The sequence below is a fragment of the Homo sapiens genome, chromosome 7, assembly GCF_000001405.40.
Source record: "Homo sapiens chromosome 7, GRCh38.p14 Primary Assembly".
Taxonomy (NCBI): domain Eukaryota; kingdom Metazoa; phylum Chordata; class Mammalia; order Primates; family Hominidae; genus Homo; species Homo sapiens.
Genome location: NC_000007.14, coordinates 128,760,568 through 128,783,871, shown reverse-complemented (window position 1 = coordinate 128,783,871; position 23,304 = coordinate 128,760,568). Strand labels below are relative to the sequence as shown.

General features: G+C 43.7%; 2 protein-coding genes, 1 non-coding gene and 1 pseudogene across 8 annotated transcripts in view, besides 10 other annotated features; 1 reads left to right on the top strand and 3 right to left on the bottom strand.

Moving 5' to 3' along the window:
- Nucleotides 269-478: a silencer, noted in NCBI's record as "silent region_18614". NCBI's record gives its function as "represses an Ori minimal core promoter by ATAC-STARR-seq in GM12878 lymphoblastoid cells {active_cell/tissue: GM12878}" and the evidence as "EXISTENCE:reporter gene assay evidence [ECO:0000049][PMID:35858748]".
- Nucleotides 351-422, bottom strand: TRP-AGG2-3 (tRNA-Pro (anticodon AGG) 2-3). Its single transcript has one exon. It is a non-coding gene; the product is annotated as a tRNA-Pro (tRNA).
- Nucleotides 2,671-8,081: a transcriptional cis regulatory region, noted in NCBI's record as "hB-5.4lacZ transgene in mouse; includes the OPN1SW basal promoter". NCBI's record gives its function as "blue cone and bipolar cell expression of OPN1SW" and the evidence as "EXISTENCE:transgenic organism evidence [ECO:0001131][PMID:8207464]".
- Nucleotides 2,671-8,092: a biological region, named in NCBI's record as "blue cone (S) opsin upstream regulatory region". NCBI's record gives its function as "regulatory_interactions: OPN1SW".
- Nucleotides 4,282-8,081: a transcriptional cis regulatory region, noted in NCBI's record as "3.8 kb blue opsin/lacZ transgene in mouse; includes the OPN1SW basal promoter". NCBI's record gives its function as "blue cone and bipolar cell expression of OPN1SW" and the evidence as "EXISTENCE:transgenic organism evidence [ECO:0001131][PMID:8146162]".
- Nucleotides 6,982-8,081: a transcriptional cis regulatory region, noted in NCBI's record as "1.1 kb blue opsin/lacZ transgene in mouse; includes the OPN1SW basal promoter". NCBI's record gives its function as "blue cone and bipolar cell expression of OPN1SW" and the evidence as "EXISTENCE:transgenic organism evidence [ECO:0001131][PMID:8146162]".
- Nucleotides 7,090-8,084: a transcriptional cis regulatory region, noted in NCBI's record as "HB996 fragment in AAV vector transgene in rat; includes the OPN1SW basal promoter". NCBI's record gives its function as "blue cone and bipolar cell expression of OPN1SW" and the evidence as "EXISTENCE:transgenic organism evidence [ECO:0001131][PMID:16877422]".
- Nucleotides 7,525-8,092: a transcriptional cis regulatory region, noted in NCBI's record as "HB569 fragment in AAV vector transgene in rat or dog; includes the OPN1SW basal promoter". NCBI's record gives its function as "blue cone and bipolar cell expression of OPN1SW" and the evidence as "EXISTENCE:transgenic organism evidence [ECO:0001131][PMID:16877422, PMID:18337838]".
- Nucleotides 7,612-8,081: a transcriptional cis regulatory region, noted in NCBI's record as "hB-0.47lacZ transgene in mouse; includes the OPN1SW basal promoter". NCBI's record gives its function as "blue cone and bipolar cell expression of OPN1SW" and the evidence as "EXISTENCE:transgenic organism evidence [ECO:0001131][PMID:8207464]".
- Nucleotides 7,784-7,805: a response element, noted in NCBI's record as "conserved RORE1 site; the orthologous mouse site is required for transgene activation in vivo and acts in synergy with retinal cone-rod homeobox factor (CRX)". NCBI's record gives its function as "OPN1SW promoter activation in response to retinoid-related orphan receptor binding" and the evidence as "EXISTENCE:sequence alignment evidence [ECO:0000200][PMID:16574740]".
- Nucleotides 7,862-7,883: a response element, noted in NCBI's record as "conserved RORE2 site; the orthologous mouse site is required for transgene activation in vivo and acts in synergy with retinal cone-rod homeobox factor (CRX)". NCBI's record gives its function as "OPN1SW promoter activation in response to retinoid-related orphan receptor binding" and the evidence as "EXISTENCE:sequence alignment evidence [ECO:0000200][PMID:16574740]".
- Nucleotides 8,078-11,387, top strand: OPN1SW (opsin 1, short wave sensitive). Its single transcript, NM_001385125.1, has 5 exons — nt 8,078-8,433; nt 8,718-8,886; nt 9,209-9,374; nt 9,984-10,223; nt 11,213-11,387. The coding sequence occupies exons 1-5, from the start codon at nt 8,091-8,093 to the stop codon at nt 11,330-11,332; spliced, it is 1,038 nt and encodes a 345-aa protein (NP_001372054.1). The 5' UTR covers nt 8,078-8,090; the 3' UTR covers nt 11,333-11,387.
- Nucleotides 10,472-23,304, bottom strand: part of CALU (calumenin) — a 34,042-nt gene continuing 21,209 nt past the window's right edge. For 5 of the 6 annotated variants that reach the window (NR_074086.2, NM_001199671.2, NM_001199672.2 and 2 more), the window contains 2 exons: nt 16,217-16,416; nt 10,472-14,809 (listed from right to left, as the gene is read on the bottom strand). Coding sequence is in view for 5 of the 6 variants with exons in the window: in NM_001199671.2 (NP_001186600.1) it covers nt 14,705-14,809; nt 16,217-16,416 (305 nt within the window). In the remaining variant the exon portion in view is untranslated. The remainder of the gene's footprint in view (nt 14,810-16,216; nt 16,417-23,304) is intronic. The other variant, NM_001199673.2, reaches the window with a different exon arrangement.
- Nucleotides 22,274-22,534, bottom strand: RN7SL81P (RNA, 7SL, cytoplasmic 81, pseudogene; annotated as a pseudogene).

Genomic DNA, 23,304 nt, shown 5'->3' with positions numbered 1-23,304 from the left:
TTGGACTTTGAATCCAGTGCATTTCATAGCTTAGGTTTTATGTTGAGAGCTTGCCTGATCCTGACCTCCAGCTCTGGCCCAGCCCGCTCCTTGTCCTGATCTCTCTGACAGGCTGTCTTTCTGCCAAATAAAATGCAGGCCAGCCAGATGCTCTGCCAGTCCACTCTTGGTCAGTTTGGCCCCAGTGGAAATAATGGGGTACATATAGGCCATGGCTAATGGGGGGACTGACTGCCAGTTTGTCCTCAGGGTCCTTTAGCCACACACCATGAGGCTACCTTTTTGCTTCCATCCTAGAAGGGGCAGGCAGTGTATGTGTACGTGGCAGCAGAGAAGGGACAGAAAAAGTAGGGCTCGTCCGGGATTTGAACCCGGGACCTCTCGCACCCTAAGCGAGAATCATACCCCTAGACCAACGAGCCACTGGTAGTTATCTCTTGCCAGATGTGCTCTCCCTGCCACATCAGCAGCAGCCACAGCAGCAGTCTGTAGTTCTTAGAACGGGCCTCTCTCCTCCCCCTTCCAGGCTGGCTTCCAGCCCAGGCCACTGTGCTCCAGCAGGCATTGCTCCTGAGTTCTCTCCTCCTCCTCCGTAGCTCATTGCGGAGCCACACGGATGCTCCTCTGCCTGGGCCTCCAGGCAGGGTCTATTCTTCCCCGTGACCTGCCAGTTACCCCGCCAGGACTCCCAAGCAGAGTTCACGGAGGAGCTGCTGGGGAAGAGGCCAGGATCCAGCAACCACCACTTCCGTGGGGACCACCAGGGCTGGTGAGCCCATCTGGGGTCTCTTGCACTCAATTGAGAACTACTCTTCTTTCTTACTTCATGATCAGACCACCAGAAAAGCATTCTCCAAACCCATTAGACTCCCAGGTGAGGACCCAGAAGAATGTCCCAGCTTACTCTTGACTAGGTGATGTTTGCTAAATTACGCAGTTCCTTCATCTGCTGGTTGGGGAAGGTAACACCTACCCTGTCTACCTTACAGGGTGAGGATCGCATGAGACAATGTATATGAAAGCACCTTGGGAACTGTAAAGTGCTGTCAAAGGAAACGGGTTACGATGGCAACATGAGGGAGGGGAGAAATACATAGTAGGAAAGCTGGCATTTAATGCTTGCTGTGGGCCAGGCAGTGTGCTCCGTGCTTTACAGATCTTATTTAACCTTCCAGCAACCTTGTGAGAGCAGTATCACCTCACTGTAAAATAAACAATTTGCCTGAATTCAGCTTCTACTTCATGTTTATCTGAATGCTTCAACTTGCCTAAATTCAGCTTATTCACGTTTATCTGAATCCGAAGGCTGTTTTAAATGCAGTACACACTGCTACCCAGACTTTCTAAAAAACCAGAAATGGGGACTATATCTTGTCAATACCCACACGCCCTCCCCCATGGTAGCCTGCCCTGCTCATCCTACCCAGGGAAGCTGCCCAGGAAGAAGCTGCTGACAGCCTAAGGGTGGCCTAGATTGGGAGGTTCCCAAAAAGAGTGAGGGGGGTGATCACACCTCAGAAACTGGGGCCTTCTAGGAGACCCTGGTGGTCTTGGTTGGGCTCTCTGTCTTTTGTGCTTCCACCATCCCTGTACACATCCATCACACCCTGGATTCTTGCTCACTTCCAGAGGGGAGGTCTTTTGTGAGCTGAGAGCTCCACCAGGGCAGATACCTGTTTTATTGGTCTTTGGGTCTTCCCCAGTGTCTGACCCTTGGCAGTACTGCTGACAATACAGACGATTCCCAGGCATTTCTGTGTGCCCAGCCTTGTGTAAGCACTTTACCAGATTAATCCCACTTAATCCTCATAGCAGAACTGTTGTCATAGTCATCACTTAGCACATGTCTGTGGAATGAATGAATGAGTGAAAAAAGAAAATCCAAGAAGTGTGCACAAAAAAATCACTAGTGGCAACAGATATGCGTGAGTCCTCACCACTTGGCTTGAAGTAGAAATGGTAACCCTGGAGAAATCTTCCACACGCCATCCTTTTTTTTTTTTTTTTTTTTTTTTTTGAGACAGAGTCTCACTCGGTCACCCAGGCTGGAGTGCAGTGGCATGATATCAGCTCACTGAAACCTCCGCCTCCTGGATTCAAGCGATTCTCCCACCTCAGCCTCCCAAGTAGCTGGGATTACAGGTGTGAGCCACTGTGCCCAGCCCACACTCCATCCTTTCAAGCAGGATTCCTACTGAACCAATCCCTCCCTTGGATAGGTGGGAAGAATGGCCCTCACTTTAGAGAATACATTGGCCAGCATTCTTTTGTACTCAGGGGCTAAAGTTGTATGATTTCCATCGAAGTGTCTGAACCAGACAACTGGCTCTGCTAACTAATCATGGCCAGAGAGGAAAGCAACAGCTCATCTATTCTCAAACCAAAGAGACTTTTTTGGGTTGCCGTTCCCCAGCTTTAAACTGACTTATAAATAAAAGCGCATGCAACATGTCCTTCCATTACCTCAGCACACATTCCCTAAATTGTTCCTCTTGGTGAGCGTGCCAGAGAGTGATGCTGCTCAAAGCTAGGGCTCCTAGGGGAACTTTGCTGAAGATGTTTCAGAGCTGAGACCAGGGTTGGGTCCTAGCCAGTGCTTCTCTCAGAGGTGCTGTTGGAATTTGGGGCAGGATCATTCTTCTTTGTGTGGCCGATCTGGAGCTGCATCCTGTCCACTGAATACCAGTAATTCCTTCTCCACTATTGTGATGGCCATGAAACACCCCGCATGCTTCCAAAAGCCTCCTAGATGGTGGAGTCGGTGGAGAGGAGCATGGCCCTGGTGGAAATTCACTGGTACATACCTTAAATTTGCTTCCAGGCTAAAATCACTGTGTCCTTCATCTATGCAGTAGGACTTCAGGCCGTCAGTTGCTCCTTTGTCTCTTAGGGAGAATCATGGCCCTCCCTCCAGGAGCTTCCTCACTCTCTTCCTAAGTGTGGGGATGGCTTTTAGGCAGATCCTGAGTCCTCATTTTCACAAGAGCATGTCAGTTCTTCCCTTATCACTTGTCTGGAGAGCCTTATGGGTTAGTATTTAACAGACAACATTGTCACACACATCATCTCAAGCTCACTGTCACCTCCTATATATATAAAAAACAGCAAGAAGCTACCACTGGTTGCCTCTGAGAAGGTAACTGAGTAGTTGGGAGGCTGGGTGGAAAGGAAACTTCTTTTTCTCTGAATATTCTTCTTCCTTTTTTTTTTTTTTTTTTTTTTTGAGATAGAGTCTCACTCTGTCCGCCAGGCTGGAGTGCAGTGGTGAGATCTCGGCTCACTGCAACCTCCGTCTCCTGGGCTCAAGCAATTCTCCTGCCTCAGCCTTTCAGTAGCTTGGATTACAGGCATGTGTCACCATGCCCAGCTAATTTTTGTATTTTTAGTAGAGACGGGGTTTCACTATGTTGGCCAGGCTGGTCTTGAACTCCTGACCTCAGGTAATCCACCTGCCTCGGCCTCCCAAAGTGCTGGGATTACAGGCGTGAGCCACTGCGCCTGGCCATATATATATGCGGCCACACACATATATATATGGAAAAACAAATTTTCACTTGATTGTATTATATTGGGTTCTGAGCATTTGTAAGTCTAAATCTAAATCAATGGTTGGATCTCAGCTGGAGGGGAGGGGAGTGGGGAAGGGTTTTGTCTCTCAGGAGGCATTTGACAATGTCGGGAGACATTTTTGGTTATCATGACTGGGCTGGTAGTGTTGATTTTGGCATCTAGAGGAGAGGGACACTGTTCAACATCCTACAATGCACAGGACAGCCCCCAGACAAAGAATTATCTGCAATGTCAATAGTGCCAACGTTGAGAAATCCTGGTCTAAGTGTATTTCATGTGATCTTCTGTAAAGCCTTAGTGTATTAACATGTTCTAAATTAATAAGGTGATTTTCAGCCTGGGAAGAGCACTGTATAACTAAATGCACTTAAGATGCCTCTAGTTTTTATTTTTTATTTTATTTTGTTTTTTGGTTTTGAGACACAGTCCCGCTCTGTTGCCCAGGCTGGAGGGCAGCAGCACAATCTCAGCTCACCGCAACCTCTGCCTCCTGGGTTCAAGCGATTCTCCTACCTCAGCCTCCCAAATAGCTGGGACTATACAGGAGTGCGCCACCATGCCCAGCAAATTTTTGTATTTTTTGGTAGAGACAGGGTTTCACCATGTTGGCCAGGTTGGTGAACACCTGACCTCAAGTGATCTGCCCACCTTGGCCTCCAAAAGTGGTGGGATTACAGGTGTGAGCCACCGTGCCCAGTCTGCCTCCAGTTTTTCTATTTTCTCTTCCTCCTTTACCCCATGCCCCTTCCTCAGAAGCTTGCCTCCTCCTACTCCGTGGCCTCCATGACTTTGGAGAATTTTTGTCCATGGCTTGAGCACCGGTAAGACTTTGCGCTTGGGTGAGGCTCTTTTTGGTCTGAGCCCCTCAGGGATTGGGTTGCCTCCAGCTTGGGCCCATTGTCTCCCTCTGCTGTTGGGGGAACAGGGTGGGAGGGCACTGTCTGGGAAGGCGTGAGGACAGTATTAGGAGGGGCCAAAGATGTGGCCACCTAGCCTTGTACACTGGATGTAAAAGGGCCCGGGGTGTCTTGCACCCTCGCCATTTAGCCTCCCATCAGAAATGTTTGCAGAGGTGGGCACCTCAGCAGAGCCCAGCGGACAGTGGAGGCTGGCTTGTTCCACGCAGGCCAGGCTCACACACAGTCCATGTGCCCTGCTCAGGGATAGGCACCTTAAGGTGACCTCTGGCCCTGGTCCTGAAGTCCTGCCCAGGGCAACGGATGAGCAGCTCTGCTCATCTGTACAAGGCTAGGTGGCCACATCTTTGGCCCCTCCTAATACTGTCCTCACACCTTCCCAGACAGTGCCCTCCCACCCTGTTCCCCCCATGACTCAGGCAATCTGACTGGACCCTTAGCTGGCTCTCCCCAGTAACCTCCACCAGGACTCCCACCTGCGGCCGAGTGTTTGTGTGGGATGTGCATGTGTGCGCATGCACATGAGAGTGGCGGTCTTTCGGAAATAATTAAGTCAGCTGGGCACAGTGGCTCATGCCTGTAATCCCAGCACTTCGGGAGGCCGAGGTGGTCAGATCACCTGAGGTCAGGAGTTTGAGAACAGCCTGGCCAAAATGGTGAAACCCTGTCTCTACTAAAAATGCAAAAATTAGCTGGGCATGGTGGCACAGACCTGTAATCCCAGCTACATGGGAGACTGAGGCAAGAGAATCACTTGAACCCAGGAGATGGAGGTTGCAGTGACCTGAGATTGGCTCAGATCCTACTGAGGAGATGCTGGAGACAGGAGAGAACTATTTTGTTTTGCTTCAGGTTTCATTGATTTTTCTCCATTCTTTATTCATTTTTAATTTCAATGTTTTCTGCTCTGCTTTTTAGTATCTGCCCCTATTTATTTTAGATTTGATTCACCCTTTCAGCTTCTCAAGGTGAAAGTTTAAATTTTAAACATTTATTGTCTAGTATAAATACTTAAAGCTATAAATTTTTCTCTAAGTACTGCTTTAGCTGACTCCTTCAATTTCTAATACTTTTTTGTTGTTATTCAGCTGAAATTCTTTCAGTTTTTCCTTATGATTTCTCTTTTGACTCACAGGATATTTAGATGTATATTGCTTATTCATAAGTGTTTGGGGGATTTTCCAGATATCTTTTTGTTATTGATCTATCTGTAAGTTCACTGATCCTTTCTTCTGCTGTCCAATCTGCTGTTCAGCCATCTAGTAAATTCTTCATTTGACATGTTGTAGTTTTCAGTTCTGGAATTTCCATTTGGCTATTTTATTTTTCCCATTCTTCTGCTGAGATCCATTAACTCACGATGATCATTTTTTTCCTTCCAGTTCTTGAATATATTTATATCGCTGTTTGAAGTTTTTCCTGCTGGTGCCAACTTCTTGGGTCATCTCAGGTTCTGTTTCTATTGCTTGCTTTTTCTTTTGGCTATGACTCATATTTTCCTGTGGGTTTTTTTTTTCTTTCACACGCCTTTTAATTTTTCATTGTATATTAGACATTGTAGATAGTGAACTTTAGAAACTGGGTTATCTTCCATTGAGGGGTGTTGATTTTTGTTCTAATAAGCAATTAACTTACTAGTTGATCACCTTGAACCCGCTGAGGCTTGGTTTTATCTTTTGCTAGTATGAGTCAGCTTTGGCTTTGACCTTACTCTCAGAACAAATATTTAGTCCTGGGATATAGATTTTAGCTCTATGGTGTGGCCTTTTGGGAGTTTCAAGTAGAAAGCCCTAAGTGTTTACCCAGACCCTCTGACTTGGGATTCAAATTCAAACTCTTTCTCTGCTACAGTGGGTAACAGTCAAAATCTGCTTAGCTCTTTCAGACCTCCAGTGGTTGTCTTTTACTGGGCTCTTGGAAATTCCTCCATCCACAGTTCAGCAGTCAGCCTATGATTTGAGGGGAGTTTATATGCAGATTTAAAGACTTTGCCTTCTGTGGCTTCTTTCATTCCAGGAAATCCACCTTCAGCTGTTCTGGAGTCCCAAACTGTCCTCTGTCTCCTGTCCTCTGTCCTCTGACTCTTCAAGCCAAAAAAGGCTGGGGCTTTCTGCTCAAGTTCTAGCTATCCTGTGCCATTTATACTCGGGAGTACACTCAGGGAAAAAAAAAAACAACAATGTAGATGGTTCTTTTCATTGAAGAGTTGAGTTCCTTTCAGTTTCTGCCTGCTTTGGATACTTTAGGTGTTTTCAAAAAGTTGTTTTTCATATTGTGTCCAGTTTACAATTTTTTTGCCTAAGGGGGCATTCATCTAATAAACTATTCTGCCATTACTGGACCATCCTTTCACTTTTAAACTTACTTATACCTAAAGTGTGTCACTTTTAACTCATCTATATATATAGTCTCGCTCTGTCCCACAGGCTGGAGTGCAGTGGCGTGATCTCGGCTCACTGCAGGCTCCGCCTCCCGGGTTCACGCCATTCTCCTGCCTCAGCCTCCCAAGTAGCTGGGACTACAGGCGCCCACCACCACACCCAGCTAATTTTTTGTATTTTTAGTAGAGACGGGGTTTCACCGTTAGCCAGGATGGTCTCGATCTCCTGACCTTGTGATCCACCCATCTCAGCCTCCCAAAGTGCTGGGATTACAGGCTTGAGCCACCACGCCCGGCCAACTCATCTATATATTTATGATCTGCTGAGGTGGAAAAGATTCATTCATAAAGCCTAAAGTGTAGTACTGAGTACAAGTGCAGGTGGAACTTAAAGCAGAGTTGGTGTCACTGGGGTGGGCTGCACAGAAGAGGTGTTTGTGAGGTAGGCTGTGAGGGCTAGATAAGACTTCAATGAACAGACAGGAGGAAGACTGTGGCGACTTGTTGAGCTAAGGGTAGGGGTAGGCATGAACATGGCGTAAGGACAGTGAACAGACCCACCTCCCTGGCTGGAGGTCTGAGTAGGAAAGGCACACTCTTTGAGTAGATTCAACACAAAGAAATGGAGGCAGCCTGGCTCAGGGATGCCCTAGACCTCTAGGCATTGTCAAGTTGCCTAAGTCCTGTTCCATCAAGGCTGTTTACTGATGTGCTTCCAGGGCACTCCCCACTCCCAGCCCTTTCCTGCAGCCCAGGGCTGGTTCCTAGCCTCTCAGCAGACTTAAGATGGGCACCTTCCACAAAGGGGCAGATGAGTTGAGGAAAACTTAACTGATACAGTTGTGCCAGAAGCCAAAATAAGAGGCGTGCCCTTTCTATAGCCCCATTAAAAGAACAAAAAAGTGGAAGCATCTTCAGTGAATATGGGTCAGCACCTCCCAGACCTCAGGGAGTCCACTTCTGTTCATCCCAGCACCCAGCATTGCATATCCAGATTATTTGAGCCCAATCTCTTATCCTCTGAAGAACACAATCGGCTTTGGGGCCACAAAAGGTTTAGGTAGTGGTTTAGGGATTTCTAATCCCAAACTTTGTCCTTGGGAGGTTTAGGATTAGTATTGATCATTCACAGAGCCCAAGTGTTTTTAGAGGAGGGGTTTTGTGGGGTGGGAGGATCACCTATAAGAGGACTCAGAGGGGGGTGTGGGGCATCCATGAGAAAAATGTCGGAGGAAGAGTTTTATCTGTTCAAAAATATCTCTTCAGTGGGGCCGTGGGATGGGCCTCAGTACCACATTGCCCCTGTCTGGGCCTTCTACCTCCAGGCAGCTTTCATGGGCACTGTCTTCCTTATAGGGTTCCCACTCAATGCCATGGTGCTGGTGGCCACACTGCGCTACAAAAAGTTGCGGCAGCCCCTCAACTACATTCTGGTCAACGTGTCCTTCGGAGGCTTCCTCCTCTGCATCTTCTCTGTCTTCCCTGTCTTCGTCGCCAGCTGTAACGGATACTTCGTCTTCGGTCGCCATGTTTGTGCTTTGGAGGGCTTCCTGGGCACTGTAGCAGGTACTGCAGGGGAAAAAGGGGTTAGGGGAAGGCAAAGGTTGCTACTCCACTGGAGGGGGTTCCTAAAGAGGAGTCTGGGGGAAATGAGTCTGGTGCTTTTTAAAATACTGGGGTACAAAGCAACCCAGACTAGAAGTTTGGCTAAAATAGGATGTTTGAGTCTTCACTCCAAATGTCAGTCCAGCCCTGTCTCTCTGTGCTTGCTCCACCCGATCTGTTTGCCACTCTGCCAGCCAGGCTGGGTGGGGCTCTGTCTAGCCCATTATCCTCACATTTCACCACAGGTCTGGTTACAGGATGGTCACTGGCCTTCCTGGCCTTTGAGCGCTACATTGTCATCTGTAAGCCCTTCGGCAACTTCCGCTTCAGCTCCAAGCATGCACTGACGGTGGTCCTGGCTACCTGGACCATTGGTATTGGCGTCTCCATCCCACCCTTCTTTGGCTGGAGCCGGTGAGAGTGCAGGGCAGTGGTGCTGAGTTAACTAGGAGCTCAGGTTGATGTGGGTGGAAAGAGAGCTTGGGTATAACTATTTAGTCTTTGACCTCTACTTTTAAAGAGTTGCAATATGAGGCGAAAGGGCAGTGGGAGACAAGTGCTAACGTTTACTCTGCAGTTGGAATTGCTGTAGCTTCTCCCAGTCAGGACAGAAAACCCCCCTGCTTGAAGCCTTAGGGCATTCCGTGGGTTCTAAGTGGAGAACACAATCCAGGCATCTCAGCTCCCACTGCACTCTTGTGGAGAGTCCAGTGAGCAAGTGTTTGGTCCTTTGCAGGTTCATCCCTGAGGGCCTGCAGTGTTCCTGTGGCCCTGACTGGTACACCGTGGGCACCAAATACCGCAGCGAGTCCTATACGTGGTTCCTCTTCATCTTCTGCTTCATTGTGCCTCTCTCCCTCATCTGCTTCTCCTACACTCAGCTGCTGAGGGCCCTGAAAGCTGTGAGTGGCATTTGATAGTCAGGGAAGAAGGGGTTCGGGGCTCCACATGAGAAGGAAGAGTGCTCTGAAACATAAGATGCCTGGAAATGTCCATAGCCAGAGAGGGTATCTAAAAGCAGCAAAGGAAGTAGGAGGAGGGAGAATGATGGAGATCCAAAGGAACTAGGCCAGGAGATGGGACAGAAAAGAGGCAATCAGAGTGGATGCCCCCTCCCCCATCCCACAGAAAAGCATCCAGAGACCGGGCGCAGTGGCTCACGCCTATAATCCCAGCACTTTGGGAGGCCGAAGCAGACGGATCACCTGAGGTCAATAGTTCCAGACCAGCCTGGCCTACATGGCAAAATGCTAAAATGCGAAAATTAGCTGGGCATGGTGGTGTGTGCTTGTAACCCCAGCTACTCAGGAGGCTGAGACAAAAGAATCACTTGAACCCGGGAGGTGGAGGTTCAGTGAGCCGAGACTGCACCACTGCAACTCCAGCCTGGGCAACAGAGCGAGACTCGGTCTCAAAAAGAAAATTAAAAATTAAAAATTAAAAAAAAAAAAAAAAAGCATCCAGAGGGCCAGGAAAAAGAGAGATGTGATGCTTTCCGTGCTCCACCCCAGGTTGCAGCTCAGCAGCAGGAGTCAGCTACGACCCAGAAGGCTGAACGGGAGGTGAGCCGCATGGTGGTTGTGATGGTAGGATCCTTCTGTGTCTGCTACGTGCCCTACGCGGCCTTCGCCATGTACATGGTCAACAACCGTAACCATGGGCTGGACTTACGGCTTGTCACCATTCCTTCATTCTTCTCCAAGAGTGCTTGCATCTACAATCCCATCATCTACTGCTTCATGAATAAGCAGGTAAAGCTCTTTATTCACATTCCTATGGTCCAGAAGACCCTGGTTCTTTTCTCACCATTGACTTTTAACTCAGAGCACCCTGGACTCTACCCAGGTTTCTAGTAGACGAGGGAAGCCACAAAACCCCCGAGTAGGTTGGGAAGCCTTTGGTAAGCACAGGGAGGAAGGCACGGTTATCAAGACGAGAAAATAGAACCCCGGAGGAAAGAACTTGAGTCAGGAAAATGAAGTTGCTCCAAAGAACAGGATGAATGAAAGCATTTTATTGAAAAACTCGTGCAGCAAACCACCATGGCACACGTTTACCTATGTAACAAACCTGCACATCCTGCACATGTATCCTGGAACTTAAATAAAATTAAAAAAATAAAAATAAAAACTCAGATTCCTCTCAATTTTCAGTCCTTGCATTTAATAATTTCTTAATCATTTCCCTTCCAACTTTTAGCCTGCACGAGCATGTGTGAAGCACAGAAATCATACCACATGCAAAAATCTCTAAAATATCTTATCATCTGAAGGTACTGGGGGATTTCCTATCCCATCTGAAATCCGAGCTAATAAACACCAAACCCTAAGTGGCAAAAACCCTACTTTCAGATGGTATTGTTTCCTCAATCCCAGAGGTAGACTCAAAACTAATTTGAAACCTCCCTGGATAGAAGAGAATTGGCAGTCCTTTCCAGCTGGGAGCACCTGCTAGTAATGGAGGGGCCTCTGCTGACAGTGCTTTTATGAAGCAGGATGGTTTGTGAATTTACCAACAGTGAGGTCTCAGACTTGACCAGTTTAGGATTACCGTAGACCCAGGAGTAGTTCTAGACTGGAATCTAGATAGTTTTCAGGATGGGGAAGATAGATTCAAAACCACCTAAGGGCATTCTGGGTACAAAGCATTGTGCAAGGCTTTGGTGATACAGAGAATAAGGTCTTTTTTCCCATACTTCCTCATCTGCCAAGGTTATCTCCAATTGTACCTTTCTCTCCAGTTCCAAGCTTGCATCATGAAGATGGTGTGTGGGAAGGCCATGACAGATGAATCCGACACATGCAGCTCCCAGAAAACAGAAGTTTCTACTGTCTCGTCTACCCAAGTTGGCCCCAACTGAGGACCCAATATTGGCCTGTTTGCAACAGCTAGAATTAAATTTTACTTTTAAGTAAGTTTCTATTGTCTCCGTCAGAAACCAAACTACTAAAAACACAAAAAAGATGGTAAAAGGAGTGATGGCAGTTTGGGGAGTCAATTTTTCATTTTCTTACTATTGCCTTCTTGCCTACAAAGCTACTGTTTCCACTGGTCTATTTCAGACCACCCAAAGGCCATTTCAACAATCATCAGTTTCTACTCCTAAGTGGCACCATTCACAGCACTTGGAGAACTGATTTCTACATACAAGGCAACCAAAAAGGAATATGCTTTAAGTTTTCAGTGTATGGATACTTTCCTTTTTAGTAACTTTTTTTTTTTTTCCTGCTGGGGATCCATTCTGAGATGATATATGCTGAATTAGAACAAACTTAAGAAAACACTTTAGAAATGGGAGAGACATAAAGAAAAAACAAAACAAAACAAAAAAAAAAACAAAAAAAACTCAGTGGCCCCAAATATGAGTTTGAAAGAACTTTTGGATAACTGCTACAGCTTTGGCAGGAACAGCCATGTCCACAAGCCCCTGAGCAAGCACAAATTATTCCAGGTGCTTCCTCCCCGTTGCATTTGGCTAAACCTTTATATTTGTCTTAAACTGTGTGTTTACTAAAGTTAATAGTTTAATTCTCTCGAGGTTCTCAAAATGAATTTGCATGTTTTAATAACATTTGTAAACAATACCAAAATGTTAAACAAAATTGTTTTACCTTATGCTCTATAGATAAACGTGTGTGTACATTCAGAATCGCTTGTGTTTGGTATCAGATAATTATATAACGAGCAGCAGGTCTCTCCAGTTATACGGCCTAATGGAAGTAAAAAAGGGTTATGGCTGTGGTGAGAAGGATGCTAGAAAATACCAGAAAACAGGGAGAAAAGAATAATCATTTAGGAGAAGGCAGTGCTGTCTCTGAGTTTGGGAGAACTTCGAGGAGAGTTCCCATTCTGACATTTTAGAGCATCCATAATTCTAAGCTAGAGTTCTATTTCTTGGAAAATGAAGGTCATACATACCCCATAATGAATGTAAACAGTTTTATTTAGAAACAGATAGGTACCTGTTCGCATTGCAGAATATAAAACTTGGTTTACACTCTATAAAAAATAACCAATATCCAAATTCAAGAGAGCTAGCATTCACAGAACACACAATATGGGTGTGTAGCTACTGTTCACCAGCCTCAGGCTTGATTTAAACAAACAAACAAAAAAAAAATTTCAAAGGGATCATTCAAGATGACCGTATAATGCTTGCTGCTGTCTTTGCAGATTAAGGTTTGCTTTTCAAGTGCATGATTTTAACATAAGGCCTGGGCTCTCTGCACCTAGTGAGGTGTGAGGCTCTCTTGCCACACAGTTCACACTCTCACTTAACTAAGCCAGAGTTGGTGGCATTATTAAATTATCACTGGTCTTCTTAATAGTAAAAATGGGGAACCCAGAGGGCAGGAAATTTCCATTACCCTATATTGGGGCTAAACTTAAAAGAGTATATCCACTATCAAGAGCTTAGTACAAAGGCTGGGGTGAAGTTACATTATACCTGGCTTTTTACCATACCAGGGAGCCCACCTCAACATGACTGTGGAAGACCAAAGGATATACCTAGGTTCAGATTATAATAAATCACCCAGCACCACCTGAATGTATTATCCACAAAGATATAGCAATAATAAAGGTTATATATACATATATTTATCTTGGTAACCTGAGGGCTAAAAACGTGGAATACGATAATTCTTCTCAAGAGGTCCATCTGTAAGAAAGGGACCCAAAAGGACAGTGTTTGTGTTGCATAAAATATGGGTAAAGTGGAGTTGGGAACAAAGGGTGGTTTCTTTAGCTCTTTCCACATCTCTCTTTGATAAGGACTGAAACCCTGTTGATTCATGATAAACGTTTCCTTTTTTTTTTTTTTTGGCAGCGGGGAGAGGGAAAGAGGAGGAAATGGGGTGTGATGGGTCAAAGGCAGGAAAGGTAAGCCATGGTCCTCAAACCAAAGAGCCCTCTCTGTAGGTCCTCTGATCTTTGAGTGTGAGCTCAAGCTCTCCAGTGGACACAGAAAAAGGCCTGGTAGTAAGTGGTTTGCATTGTGAGGTATGAGGATCCCTGGTAAATTCAGCAGCATGTGGTTTTTGGAAATCAGCCCACAAGATAAGAACACTGCAACCAAACTCATAACTAATACTGCTAATTTAACTATTGTCCAAAAGAGAAAGGGAAGAAGAAAAAAATCCCCACTCTACTGGGAGGTTCTAGGCTTTCCTATAAGTTATCCAAATAGTCTTTTTTTAATCTCAGGGTTTCTTAAGAGAATTCCCATTCAGTGACCATTTCTTTCGTTAAAGGCACTTTCAATGACATGATTGGAAAGGAGTGAATTTTAATTGTAGTGAAACCAAGATTAATTCCTTGGCACACCTGGGAAGAAGAGGAACCGGATGGGGGCATTTACAGTGATTTCAAAAGGCAAATAATTAAGTCTTGAGCATTTCAACAGATGCACACCCAGAAAAAAAATGTATGCCCCGAAAACACTTGTATTTTTCCTTTAGTTTTCCAGCTGTTTCTATCTATAGCTCTGCAAAGAGATCACATTCACTACTTGATTGATTTTCAAGACACTGGCCCTAACTCTTCCCACCACAGCTGTGCTTGACAAAATTAGCCAACAGTCAGTCCTACAGGGGGAAAAAGAAGAAAATCAATTTGGGCCAAGCTTTCCTAGAGCAAAGGGATCTTTCCTTGCCCAGGTAATGGCAGGTTCAGTTGCTGGACCTATAGCAACTGAATGTAATATGTGGCCCCTACTACCTATGAAATGTTGGACTTTTTGACAGGCAAGACTAAGTGTTCTCTCTCTAAATATAAATTGTGGAGCATATATTTTTTTTCTTTCCTCTCTCCTGAACATTTCTTATTGATCTCAGGCTTACAAAATTAGTTAAGTGAGAATTATTAAAATCATAAAAGGGGTTGAGAAAGAGTAAAGAGCTAATGTTTGTCTACATGTGTGAGTTGAGGATCTTGATCCTTCATATCATACTCCCAACCAGAGAAAAATACAAAAATAAACACGCCATGTTAATACATAATACAAAGTGTAAATCTACAAACACAAGTGTACTAATTAGAGTTGTTCCTCAGAAGCACGGCTTCCCTCCAGTCCCTCAGAGAGGAGGAGGAATGGGGACGGGATGGTTTTCATTACGCCTTTTCATGTCTTAAAAAGTTTGTAGTAACAGTCTCAGTAGCGCAAACAATTTCATGTGAAACCAGAAGCTGTAAAAATAAATTACTTTTGAGGAAATGAGGGTTCCTCCGTAGCTCAGAACTCATCATGCCGTACTAAGGCCTCCCCAAAATCTGTGGCCTGGCTGCCAACAAATAAGTCATACTTGTCAACGATCTCCTCCTTGGTAAGCTTGCCATCCTGAAAGTAGAGATAGCAATGAATTGAAGAAGAACATATTTCCCATTAAAAATTCAGAAACACTGTTATAGAAGAATTGGGGTTAATCAGAAGTTAAGATTCTCATTTCTACTAAATTAAGTGTGAACTACTCAGCCCTCATTCCCCCTACATACATACGAAGAGGGAAGAAAACAGCAATTACACATTCCTTGTTTTTTTTTTTTTTTTTTTTTGAGACGGAGTTTCGCTCTTGTTGCCCAGGCTGGAGTGCAATGGCGCGATCTCAGCTCACCGCAACCTCCGCCTCCCGTGTTAAAGTGATTTAAGTGATTTTTCTGCCTCAGCCTCCCGAGTAGCTGGGATTACAGGCATGCGCCACCACGCCCAGGTAATTTTGTATTTTTAGTAGAGATGGGGTTTCTCCATGTTTGTCAGGCTGGTCTTGAACACCCAATCTCAGGTGATCCGCCTGCCTTGGCCTCCCAAAGTGCTGGGATTACAGGCGTGAGCCATCGTGCCAGGCCAATTAAACATTTCTTTTATCAAGAAAGTTAAAAGTGGAAGGGTGGAAAGAATATAACACAACAACTCAATGCTAGAGATAAAGGTTTGTTTCATGAGGAGAAAACTCTCCTTTTAGAGGAAAATATGGAACATCTCCTAGATAGGGATGACTACATGCATTTCCTTTTCTCATACATCTCAGGACACAACACCTGGCTACTAAAGTGACTTTGAGCAAGAACTTAAAGCAGATCAACACTTAAAAAGGCTCTAAAATAAAAAACTGAATTTGAAATTGAAGATTAGCTTAGACAAAAATATACTCAGAACACTGAAAATCTCCATCTTTAGACCGATTTTCAGCTTACTCCAAGCAGGGCAGGAGTAATCTCTGAAGCAGGTGACTGGGCTTAGGGACAACAATACTTTTAACAAAATACCTCAGATAATTAATTGATCAAGGACAATTTGAACAGGCTCCAGAGAAAAGCTGATTTATAGCCCATACAAAGGACCCAATTTAAAAAAGCCTATTTGATTTAAGAAGGAAACAACCAGCTTTGAGTAGACAGAATGGGCCTGTAATAGGTAAAGGAACAAATGAAGTAACAAAGAAAAAAAAAAATTCCTGGGGATCTAAAAATACCTGATGATGCATGCTGGGCACAGGCTACACACAAAGGCTCTTTTCTGAAGCCAAATTTCCTACAATGCTATCAGCACTGGGCAAAAGGATTTCTAAAATGAGATCAGATAGCTAGTGCTGCCCTGAAAGGTTTTAATCGCCAGATTCAGATACTTGGCTGACTTAGACTAATTAAGACCTTAAATGCTCTATGCACCTTAACAGAAACTGTTCAGGTGATCCCCTAGAAGCATACTTCAATCAAGGATAGAGCGTGTGGGCCTCGCCAGACTTACCTTGTTTTGGTCTGATTCATAGACCAGGTGCCTGGCTTCTGCCTCTGCATGATCATAGTCTGAGGGAAGGATCCAGTCTTTGGTCTCTTCCTTGTCCATCTTCCCATCACGGTTCTTATCCCGAAACTCAACAAACTGCTCTCGCTCTGTCTTTACCCATTCTGGCTCATCAGTATTCCCATCATGGCTGTACATGTCACCTGGGTACACAGACATACATACAAAAGAAGGGTTTGTCTTTTCCCCAAAACTGCCTCATGCTAATCTGGCCTAACCCTTTTTCCTCATCCATTTGTTTGGAACCCAACAGCAGCTACAAGGGTATTTTAGGCCAGACAGACCTTAGAAAGCAAGGTATTTTCCTGAGGCTTAATCACTTATCTTGCAACAAGAATATTTCCAGCTGCTGATTTTAAGTCACATGAGAGCAAAGAGTTCTTATACCTTAATAAATGCAGAAATAAGAGGAGAGAGCTACCATCAAGAAAGACTTAGACTCGTTCCCTACATTTCATTTCACCCTAAGGTAGCTAATTAAACGGGACCACTTGTTTTAGAAAGGTGTAGCCAATTACTACAAAGAGTCCATTATACCAGTGGCCTTCAGTTGGGACAAGCACGCCCCTGGGGAAACAGGAACACTGTCAAGGAGTACACTGAGAAAGGTCAGTCAAGAGAGAATCAAATTCCAGATACTCAGTTCCACATATAGATTTTTCCAAAAATTGATCTTCATAAGAATGTACCTCTGGCCATCAAGGCTTTTTTCCCATCTCCCCCCTTTCACAACTGCCCTTGTCCCACTTTATAAAAGAAAGGCATATTTTCAACCATTTTGAAACTAGAGTGTAAAAAGCTCCAAGATAATGAAAAAGAAACAATTAGAAATACTAGTGTCTGGATGGGCGTGGTGGCTCACACCTGTAATTCCAGCACTTTGGGAGGCCTAGGCAGGCAGATCACCTGAGGTCGGAGTTTGAGACCAGATCACCTGAGGTCAGGAATTTGAGACCAGCCTGGCCAAAATGGCAAAACCCCATCTCTACTAAAAATACAAAAATTAGCTGAGCATGGTGGTGCGTGCCTGTAATCCCAGCTACTCGAGAGGCTGAGGCAAAAGAATCACTTGAACCCAGGAGGCAGAGGTTGCAGTGAGCCGAGATCATATCACTGCACTCTAGCCTGGGCGACAGAGCAAGACTCCGTCTCAAAAAAAAAAAAAAAAAAAAAGAAAAAGAAATACTAGTGTCAGTCTTGAGAATGCAAATGCCTGAAAAAAAATGAATAAATTCGTTTGCATGTCAAAAGGTTTTAAATTCTTTGCTTTAAAAAAAAAAACCTTGAAAAATGGCCTAATTGAGTTTTAGCTAAGGGATCATTAAACATAATTTTTGGGCTGGGTGCAGTGGCTCATGCCTGTAATCCCAGCACTTTGGGAGGCTGAGGCGGGTGGATCACTTGAGGTCAGGAGTTTGAGACCAGCATGGCCAACATGGTGAAACCCCGTCTCTACTAAAAATAAAAAATAAAATTAGCCGGGCGTGCTGGCCCACACCTGTAATCTCCAGCTACTGGGGAGGCTGAGGCAGGAGAATCGCTTGAACCCCAGAGGCAGAGGTTGCAATGAGCCGAGACCGTGCCTGTGTACTACAGCCTGGGTGAGAGAGAGAGACTCCACCTTGAAACAAACAAAACCCATAATTTTTGATGATAGATTACATGATTTCTGGCATGTAACTCAAAAGGAGTTCCAAGAACTAAGCAATATTGCTATGACAAATCTTCCATCAACTTATTTACTAATGTAAACAAGGTCTGTTAGTACTTCCTCTAAAAAATAAAAATTAGGAATTGGTGCTGAATCCCATTTCACTCTAGGGATAAGTAATTGTCATCCATGGATATGAAACTATTTGAATAAAAATGTGTCAAAGAAATGCATTTAAAAATATATAAACATAAAACGTCTGTAATAAATGTTATTTTGTTCAATTGTGTATTAATAATTGTAATAGTAACTTAACACAGAAGACTCTAAAAACACTTAAGAGCCATATCACAGAACACCATTTTCCATATTTCAATTTACATACACAATGTTCTTGCAAATAAGAATGTCAAAGTGACTAAGGCTTCAAGATAAAATATGTCAGAATATAATTCTGTTGAGGAAGTAAACTGCAAATGAATCTAACAAATAGAAGGCTGACTTGTGAGTTTGAGATCAGCCTGGACAACATGGCAAAATCCCTACAAGAAATACAAAAATTAGCCAGGCATGGCAGCATGCACCTACAGTCCCAGCTACTCGGGAGGCTGAGGCAGGAGGATGGCTTGAGCCTAGCAGATCGAGGCTGCAATGAACCATGATCATGCCACTGCACTCCAGCCTAGGTGACAGAGTGAGACCCTGTCTCAAAAAGAAAAAGAAAAAAAAGAAACAGGAGGTCGGGTGGCTGATGTCTGTAATCCCAGCACTTTGGGAGGCCAAGGCAGGTAGAGCTCTTGAGCCCAGGATTTCCAGACCAGCCTGGGCAATGTAGGGAGACCCATGTCTATAAGAATAATAATAAAAAAAATCAGCTGGGTGTGGTGGTGCTCTTCTGTGGTCCCAGCTGAGGTGAGAGGATCACTTGATCTCCCCACCTTGGAGATCGAGGCTGCTGTGATTGTGCCACTGCACACCAACATGGGCAACAGAATGAGACTCTTGTCTTTTTAAAAAAGAAGAAGAAGAAGAAACAGGATGCGTGTAAAATGTCCAAGTTGGTTAACAGTTTATTCATTTATTTTTTTAAGACAATATCATGTGGTGACTGATAAGTAGTATAAATATCCCCAAATCCCTATAAATTTAAACAAAAAAAAGGGCAATTAAGTGATGGTCACATTGTTGCTAACCAAACGCCATAACTAAAAAAAAAAAAGTACCAAAGAAACATTTCCTTTTTAACTATTATGAAATGTAAAAAATTACGGATATTTTCTTATATACCCACAATGCCACTTTCATATTTTACAAAATCAATTCCTTGGTATCATCTAATACCCAGACTGAATTTAAATTTCTTGATTATCTTTTTAAAGTTGTCGTGTCCAAATTATTCATATGAAAGACGGCAGGTAAGAAGTTGCTATGGTATCTTGTATTTAAATTTTATAGATTTCTTTCCGAATTACTTTCAAAATGTCAATGCTTATCACCAACAGAGATTATTCTTTTTTCTTCTGAGACAGGGTCTTGCTCTGTTGCCCAGGCTGGAGTGCAGTGGTACAATAACGGTGCACTGCAACCTCAAACCCTCAGGCTCAAGTGATCCTCCTGAGTTGCTGGGACTACAGGCACACGCCACCATGCCTGGCTAATTTTTTCTTTTTTTTTGTATTTTTTGTAGAGACAGGGTTGCGCCATGTTGTCCAGGTTGTTCTCAAACTCCTGGGCTCAAGTGATTCACCTGCCTCAGCCTCCCAAAGTTCTGGGATTACAGGAATGAGCTACGGCATCCGGCCCAACAGAGACTATTCTTTACAACTGTTTAAATTTCTTAATTAAATATTTCAGATGCCAACTTTAAAACACATAAGGGAATGCTGTTGGTCAAATTCTTTCAGGAGTTATTTAAGTGAACAAGTCTGAAAATGCTTGAGTTATACGACATCTAAGTTAAGTGTACCTGCATTGCATGTAAGGTATGGGAAAACACCTAAAGAGAAATCTAAATAGTTCCTGCAAGTTCTAAGCAAAGGTAATTATTTAGTCAGTGCTGCCATTTTCCTGACCTTGAGGGTTAAGGGTAGAAGTACTCCTCTGTCTTAAACTCACAAGAGAAATTCCTCACAGCAGGACTTGCCAATTTTTTCCCATGCTACAGCACATTCAGAAAATGTAGTTTGTACGGTCCACTGGATCAGGTTCCTGCCCTAGCTGTCCTGAAAGCCAAGAAGACTTACTCACAGGATACAGATTGGAAAGTTCTGAATTAGGAAATAGACACATGCTTAAAAGATATGGTTTTAAAGGAAGCTAGAATACACAATACACTACAACGTAAGCGCATTTTAAAGCTAGGTGACCATGATAAACTATTTGAATTTCTATTTTTATTTATTTTACTTTATTTTTTTGAGACAGAGTCTTGCTCTGTCGCCCAGGCTGGAGTGCAGTGGCGCGATCTCGGCTCACTGCAACCTCCGCCTCCTGGGTTCAAGCGATTCTCCTGCCTCAGCCTCCTGAGTAGCTGGGATTACACAGGCACATGCCACCACACCTGGCTAATTTTTATATTTTTAGTAGAGACGGGGTTTCACCAGGTTGGTCAGGCTGGTGTCTAACTCCTGACCTTGTGATCCGCCCACCTCAGCCTCCCAAAGTGTTGGGATTACAGGCATGAGCCACCATGCTCGGCCGAATTTCTATTTTTAAAAGACTCAGTCTATTTGATGATTTGAAGGTATTATTAATTTTCTTGGGTTGACATTATCTTTAAAAAAATGTTTTTAGAAACACATATATATTTTAGACATATATACCTCAATGTTTACAGATGAAATGACATAATGATTGGGATTTACTTCAAAGTAAGAAGGAAGCAAGGAAGTGGATGTGGCTGAGAAAAAACTGGCTGTAAGTTGATTGTTGTTGAGGTTAGGCATAGGTACATGGGGATTCATTATACTATTCTAATTTGGGGGCAGGTGCAGTGGCTCACACTTGTAATCCCAGCACTTTGGGAGGCTAAGGTGGTCAGATCACTTGAGGCCAGGAGTTCAAGATCACCCTGGCCAACATGGTGAAACCCCGCCTCTATTAAAAATACAAAAATTAGCCAGGTGTGGTGGTGCATGCCTGTAATCCCAACTACTCAGGAGGCTGAGGCACAAGAATCGCCTGAACCTGGGAGGCAGAGATTGTAGTGAGTGGAGATCACGCCACTGCACTCCAGCCTGGGTGACAGAGCAAGACTGTCTCAAAAAAAACATAAATAAATAAACAAATAAGTTGTGTACGTCTGCAATGCTCTATAATAAATTTTAAAAATAAAAATAATTATCAGCACAACTTTGGGTGTTTTTTTTTTTCTTTCCCTATGTTTCCACAGGCACTGATGGGGCTTCTTTTTAATGCTAAATTTATGAGGCGAAGAACTTTGTTTCTTCATGATCTCCTTCAACAGGGCACTAGAAGCTGAAAGATACTGTTTGGGAGAATTTTAGATTTACAAAGCCCAGCATCCCAGATGTAAAAGTGTTTGCATTAGTTACTGACTTGTAAAAAAAAAAAAAAAAAGCACACATGCACAAGATAGTTTTGGTAGCTTCAAAATATAACTCCTCTGCCCTTGAATCTATATGATACACAGGGAGACAGAAATATCTCCTTATTTGGCCTCAATGCTTGATAAGTGATGTAGTTAACAGTTATAAAAATTCCTCTCCTTGGGAGGTTCAAATGAGTTCCTCAGTTTTAGCAATGGCAATAAAATGGCAAAAGCCAAGAATAAAAAGATAAATCATTTAAAAGTAGAAAACCCTAGTAACATCAACGTGGGCTCAGTAAATGCACCTAGGCACTTATCCACTGTCCTGATAAACTTCTCCAAAAAAAAAAAAAATCAGTTTAGGAAAACATCCATCCTATCTTCCATTGCTCATCCTTCTTTAAAAAGTTCAAAGTATGCCACTGAACCTAAGAAAAGGGAGGTAAACAGTCAAGGAGTAATTCAATTGGAATAACTCTAGCATGTAAACAACAGGTATGATAAGACAACATCTAAGTAAAGCAGTGACTTGCTCCATACAGTTTAATGACAGGTGATAGAGGTAAGGATTAAGTCTTCCTTTCAGGCTTCAAATAAACATTTCAGGTAACTATCAGAGGTCTAAAAACAAACGGGCTTATCTGAAACACAAAACCAATGGTGTGCTAGAATAAGTTATTACAAATGACAATAAGTATGTGAAATATTAAAATATCTAATATCTTTCTAAACAAAGTATTTGTAACAATGACATTTGTAGTAACAGTCTTATACTTTCCATCTTTACTCACTTTTCTAAAGAGATGGAGTCTCGCTATGTTGCTCAGGTTGGAGTACAATTGCTATCCACAGGCACAACCTCACTACTAATCAGCACAGTTTTGACCTGCTCTGATTCTGTCCCGGGCCGGTTCACTCCTCCTTAGGCAACCTGGTGATCCTCTGCTCCCAGGAGGTCACCATATTGATGATGAACTTGTGACTATAGTCCAGACTCTTGGACTCAAGTGATCCTCCTGCCTCAGCCTCCCAAGTAACCGGGTATGCCACCACACCCAGCTCCTTTACTCATTTTAATTTCTGTCACAGTAATTGGGAAACAATTTGCTCAACTACTTGGTAAGAAAGACAGCTTTTTTTTTTTAAAGCAATGAGAATATCTTAAAATTAGTCTGATGATAATAAAACAGAGCTTTACTTGGGAGAAATTAGCCTTGAAGGTGTGACATCCAAAACAATTTTTTTAAAAAAATTTAGACAACTAAAAAGGGAAATGTCAAAAGGGAGAAACTTAAAAAACAAAAGGAAAGTAGTCAGAGAATCAGAGAGAAAATATGAACAGAACACAGTAAAAAGGAATGGCTACAAGAGGGATCAGCAACTCCCCGTCATTTATTTATCCATCTTTTAATCTATTCCCTATCTCCTTTCCCTGGGTTTCCCTATGTCAGTCTGGGCTCCCTGCAACTCTTTTTTTTGTTTGTTTGTTTGAGACGGAGTCTCGCTCTGTAGCCCCGGCTGGAGTGCAGTGGCATGATCTCAGCTTACTGCAAGCTCTGCCTCCTGGGTTCATGCCATTCTCCTGCCTCAGCGTCCCCAGTAGCTGGGACTACAGGCGCCTGCCACTACACCCGGCTAATTTTTTGTATTTTTAGTAGAGACAGGGTTTCACTGTGTTAGCCAGGATGGTCTCGATCTCCTGACCTTGTGATCCGCCCGCCTCGGCCTCCCAAAGTGCTGGGATTACAGGCGTGAGCCACCGTGCCCAGCCCCCTGCAACTCTTTACCATCAGTTCCATAGAGCATGCAGGATACACTATATCTGTGCTG

What these genes read in the sequence shown, in the direction of transcription:
- OPN1SW (NM_001385125.1), top strand. Translation starts at nt 8,091, where the DNA reads ATGTCGGAGGAAGAGTTTTATCTGTTCAAAAATATCTCTTCAGTGGGG. An exon ending in CCCTTCTTTGGCTGGAGCCG is followed by an intron (nt 8,887 to 9,208) that starts GTGAGAGTGCAG and finishes GGTCCTTTGCAG; the next exon opens with GTTCATCCCTGAGGGCCTGC. An exon ending in TGCTGAGGGCCCTGAAAGCT is followed by an intron (nt 9,375 to 9,983) that starts GTGAGTGGCATT and finishes GCTCCACCCCAG; the next exon opens with GTTGCAGCTCAGCAGCAGGA.